A 5,289-nucleotide genomic window follows, 5' to 3' on the forward strand; every position below is an offset into this window, starting at 1 on the left:
AACCAGAGAGGCTTCCACATTTTTTTAAAAATTTTATTATTATTATACTTTAAGTTTTAGGGTACATGTGCTCAACGTGCAGGTTTGTTACATATGTGTACATGTGCCATGTTGGTGTGCTGCACTCATTACCTAGTCATTTAGCATTAGGTATATCTCCTAATGCTATCCCTCCTTTTTTTTTTTTTTTTTGAGACAGAGTCTTGCTCTGTCGCCCAGGCTGGAGTGCAGTGGCGCAATCTCGGCTCACTGCAAGCTCCGCCTCCTGGTGAGGGGTGACAGCGTGCTGGCAGTCCTCACAGCCCTGGCTCGCTCTCGGCGCCTCCTCTGCCTGGGCTCCCACTTTGGCGGCACTTGAGGAGCCCTTCAGCCCACCGCTGCACTGTGGGAGCCCCTTTCTGGGCTGGCCAAGGCCGGAGCCCACTCCCTCAGCTTGCAGGGAGGTGTGGAGGGAGAGGCGCGAGCGGGAACCGGGGCTGCGCGCGCTTGCGGGCCATCTGGAGTTCCCGGTGAGCGTGGGCTTGGCGGGCCCCGCACTCGGAGCAGCCGGCCGGCCCTGCTGGCCCCGGGCAATGAGGGACTTAGCACCCGGGCCAGCAGCTGCGGAGGGTGTACTGGGTCCCCCAGCAGTGCCAGCCCACCGGCGCTGCGCTCTATTTCTCATGGGGCCTTAGCTGCCTTCCCGCGGGGCAGGGCTCGGGACCTGCAGCCCGCCATGCCTGAGCCTCCCACCCGCTCCATGGGCTCCTGTGCGGCCTGAGCCTCCCCGACGAGTGCCACCCCCTGCTCCAGGGCACCCAGTCCCATCTACCACCCAAGGGCTGAGGAGTGCGAGCACACGGCGGGGGACTGGGGGACTAGCAGGCAGCTCCACCTGCAGCCCCGGTGCGGGATCCACTGGGTGAAGCCAGCTGGGCTCCTGAGTCTGGCGGGAGGTGGAGAACTTTTATGTCTAGCTCAGGGATTGTAAATACACCGATCGGCACTCTGTATCTAGCCCAAGGTTTGTAAACACACCAATCAGCACCCTGTGTCTAGCTCAGGGTTTGTGAATGCACCAATCGACACTCTGTATCTAGCTGCTCTGGTGGGGCCTTGGAGAACCTTTGTGTCTATACTCTGTATCTAACTGATCTGATGGGGATGTGGAGAACCTTTATGTCTATCTCAGGGATTGTAAACGCACCAATCAGCGCCCTGTCAAAACAGACCACTGGGCTCTACCAATCAGCAGGACGTGGGTGGGGCCAGATAAGAGAATAAAAGCAGGCTGCGAGCCAGCAGTGGCAACCCACTCGGGTTCCCTTCCACAGTGTGGAAGCGTTGTTCTTTTGCTCTTTGCAATAAATCTTGCTACTGCTCACTCTTTGGGTCCACCGTGCTTTTATGAGCTGTAACACTCACCGCCAAGGTCTGCAGCTTCACTCCTGAAGCCAGCGAGACCACGAGCCCACCAGAAGGAAGAAACTCCGAACACATCCGAACATCAGAAGGAACAAACTCCAGATGCGCCACCTTAAGAGCTGTAACACTCACCGTGAGGGTCCGCGGCTTCAGTCTTGAAGTCAGTGAGACCAAGAACCCACCCATTCCGGACAAACTGGGTTCACGCCATTCTCCTGCCTCAGCCTCCCAAGTAGCTGGGACTACGGGCGCCTGCCACCGTGCCCGGCTAATTTTTTGTATTTTTAGTAGAGACGGGGTTTCACTGTGTTAGCCAGGATGGTCTTGATCTCCTGACCTCGTGATGCGCCTGCCTCGACCTCCCAAAGGGCTAGGATTACAGGTGTGAGCCACCGTGCCCAGCGGCTTCCACAGTTTTTGACAATGGCAATAATGCTCATGGAGGCCACTCCTATAATCACCAAGCAGATATTTAGGAAAAATGGCACGAGTACTTTGGAAAACAGTTTGGTAGTTTTTTACAAAGTCAAATATACACTATTATGCATCCTTTATTCCCATTTGTTCCAAAGAAACGAAAATGTATTTCCACAAAAAGACTTGTGCATGAATATTCGTACTAGCTTTATTCCAAAAAATCCAACAGCCCACATAACCATCAGTGAGTAACTGGGTAAACAAATTGTGTTACATCTATACAATGAGATACCACACAACAAAAACAAAACAAAACCCCAAAACCAAAAAACTACTGATTCACACAACACAGGTGAATCTGAAAAACATTATACTTAATATAGCCAGATATAAGACTATAAGTAGTATGACTTCATTTACATGAAACTCTAATGAAACTAATGTATAGGGACAAAAAGCAGATCAACGGTCACCTGAGGCTAGGGCTAGGGAGGTAGTTTCTACCACAAAGAAGCAAAAGAGACCTTTTGGGGTGAAAAAATTGTTGTATATTGTGATTGTAGTGGTGGTTGCCCAAGAGTATGTATACATTTGTCAAACCTCATTGAACTGTACACTTAAAATGGATGCATTTCAATATGTGCAAATTATACCACAATAAAGTTGACTGGTTATAAAAAAAAGAGAACTATATTTGGGCATAGCTTTACACAAGGCCAAGGGGAGGAAACAGAAGAGACTTTCCTAGGGTGTTTATGGTTTAGTACGAAGCTGAGGTGCAGATCCGTGGCACAAGGCCCTGCGCTTAGGAACAATGGGTGGCAGAATGGATTAAGTGGCCAAAGAAGCCTATGGACAAGAAATACAGAAGGAGGCAGAGAGAAAGAGACAGAGAGAGAGAGGTGAGGGAGTAGGTCCACCATGGCCTGGAGTTAAAGAATGATACATCATTTTAGAGAAGGTCTTACTTATTTCACTCTTCCATCAAGGCCTGTTCAAATCCCACTTTCTTCGCAAATTCTTGCTTGAGTCCCTACCCACAGCAACCTTTTCATCTTTCCCTCTTTTGTACTCTTATAGTAAGTTCTGTTTAATTTATGTGTAAATAGCTCTTTAATAGCTGTTTAATTTATGTGTAAATGGCCTCTTTTCTCTTGAACTGCTATTCAAATTGCTTAGTGCTAATTTCAAATGTGCTTATGCCTTATCTAATATCTAGAACACAAGTTCCTTAAGAGAGTCCTGTACCTTGGATCTCCCCATAGTTCCTTAACTACAGCAGCTGGGCAGCTTTTGTAGATGTTCTTGATTCATCAATTTTCAGTTACTAAAACTGGACTGGGTTAACATTTTGGGGTAAGGAAGATAAACCTACAATTCTATTATGATTGTACCTAGGGACTAAGTAGGGAGGTATTGTGGTTTGTGAACCCGTTGGTAATTCATTCCACTCCTCCTTTAATTGACAGACCATACTTTCTATCACAAAGCCAAGACCCTCTTCAGGCAAAGGCTTCTGTGAGGCAAACTGAAATTGAGTTGATATAGTTACCCCATCCCATGATTTTATACGTCAATTTTTTGTTTGTTTTGTTTTTCCAATCAGGAATTTCAGCCAGGGCAGTCACGTTTGTGTATTCGAAGCCTGCCAACTCTGACCAGAAATCAGGTCTCCGTTTAAGACACAACTTGACAAGTGGATTACATGTTCTGGTGAAAGGCAGATAAATGTCACTCATGTCACTATAAATAAAAGTCTGGGCCTGCTTATCAGCTTGTAGGGTTGAGGTCTTACCTTCAACACTTCTCAGAGTGCTTTATACTTTATTATCCTTTAAACGAGGTCTTTTCCATCCAGCTTCTTCCAGGGAATTATTACTGTTCAGCTCTTTGAAACATATGGCTCCTGTCAACTCCCTGTCTTTTCCTTTAAGGAACAATACAACCTGTGGCCTTAAACAGAAATCTGCCAGAATTTTCTCAAATGTCATATTAGAGAATGAAATGTAGGAAGACCTTTCATAGTAATGGATCTAGGACACCTTCCATAGTAATGGATCTAGGATCTTGTACCTGCTTTACAAGCAAATCATGTTCTAGCAGGCTTTGGTTGCTTGGGGTTATGGTTTAGAGCATGGGATTGGTCATCTAAATCCATGTAATAACAAGTATGGTTTGCAAAAAAGGATTTTCATGGTTAGAGAAATTTAGAAATGCACAATCAAAAAGGCTCTAAGATGGTTGCAGAAATGTAGTCTGTTTAGCTCGATTTAATCCAGAATTCTCAAAGTTATTTGACCACAGAACCTCCTTTTCACGTATTTTTGGATACACTACTCACAAAAATGTTTTTGAGTGACTTAAGGCATTAACACAGATTGAGAAAGTTTAGAATTGAATTAAATAATCTTTTCTTTCTTTTTTTTTTTTTAAATTTGAGGCAGGGTCTTGCTCTGTTGCCCAGGCTGGAGTGCAGTGGCACAATCTCGGCTCACTGCAACCTTGACCTCCTGGGCTCAAGCTATCCTCCTGCCTCAGCCTTCCAAGTAGCTGGGACTACAGGCATGTGCCACCATGTCCAGCAATTTTTGCATTTTTTGTGGAGACAGGGTTTCGCCTGGTCTCAAACTCCTGAGCTCAAGTGATCCACCCACCTCAGCCTCCTGAAGTGCTGGGATTATAGGCATGAGCCACGGCACCAAGCCAGAATTAAATAATCTTTCTACATTTATCAAAGTACACTTATTGAGGCCCTAAAAAAGCACATTTTTGTGTCTATATATCTGTATTACATTTCTGTACACTTCTGAGCTATATTCTAAAGTTCAATGAGGATAGAACTGGATATACACAAAAGTGTTTTGTACATTTGCTCACCAATGTCATGTTCATTTGTACCAGTGAATTATACTTGGTGATAATGATTGCAGACTGTTTTAGGTAACAAGGAACATTTGAGACAAGATCTGAATATAACAAAATCCTGGAAATGTGAAAAATTAGCTTTGGGTGGGTTCTAGGAGGAGAAACTCGTAGATTCCACTTCCAGTTTTACATTCTAAGACAGAGGTTCTCAAATTTTTGGTCTCAGGACTCATTTATACTCTTAAAATCCCAAGGAGCTTTTGTTTAAGTGGATTATATCTATTAACTTTTACTATGTTAGAAATCAAACCTGGGAAAATTTAAAAATACAAATTTATTATCTTAAAAATAAGAAACCCATAAGATCTTACCATAAGCAACATTTTTGTGAAAATAGCTATATTTTTGCAAAAAGATCAGTGAGAATATTGGCATTGTTCTACATTTTTGGAAATCTTTTCAATGTCTGGTTTGGTAGAAGACAACTGGATTGTCACATCTGCTTCTGATTCAATTTGCTGATACTGCATGTCACAGAGTCTCTGAAAAATTTCACTGTTACACTTAAGAATGAGAACAAAAAGGGTAAATAACATCCTACTA

The 5,289-nt window shown here is 44.4% G+C and overlaps 1 annotated feature.

Annotated features, from left to right (window-relative positions):
- Window positions 435-935: an enhancer, noted in NCBI's record as "H3K4me1 hESC enhancer chr20:21272495-21272995 (GRCh37/hg19 assembly coordinates)". NCBI's record gives its function as "activates a minimal SCP1, AML or CMV promoter by ChIP-STARR-seq in naive H9 embryonic stem cells {active_cell/tissue: H9 hESC(naive)}" and the evidence as "EXISTENCE:reporter gene assay evidence [ECO:0000049][PMID:30033119]".

This window comes from Homo sapiens, chromosome 20, assembly GCF_000001405.40.
Source record: "Homo sapiens chromosome 20, GRCh38.p14 Primary Assembly".
NCBI lineage: Eukaryota > Metazoa > Chordata > Mammalia > Primates > Hominidae > Homo > Homo sapiens.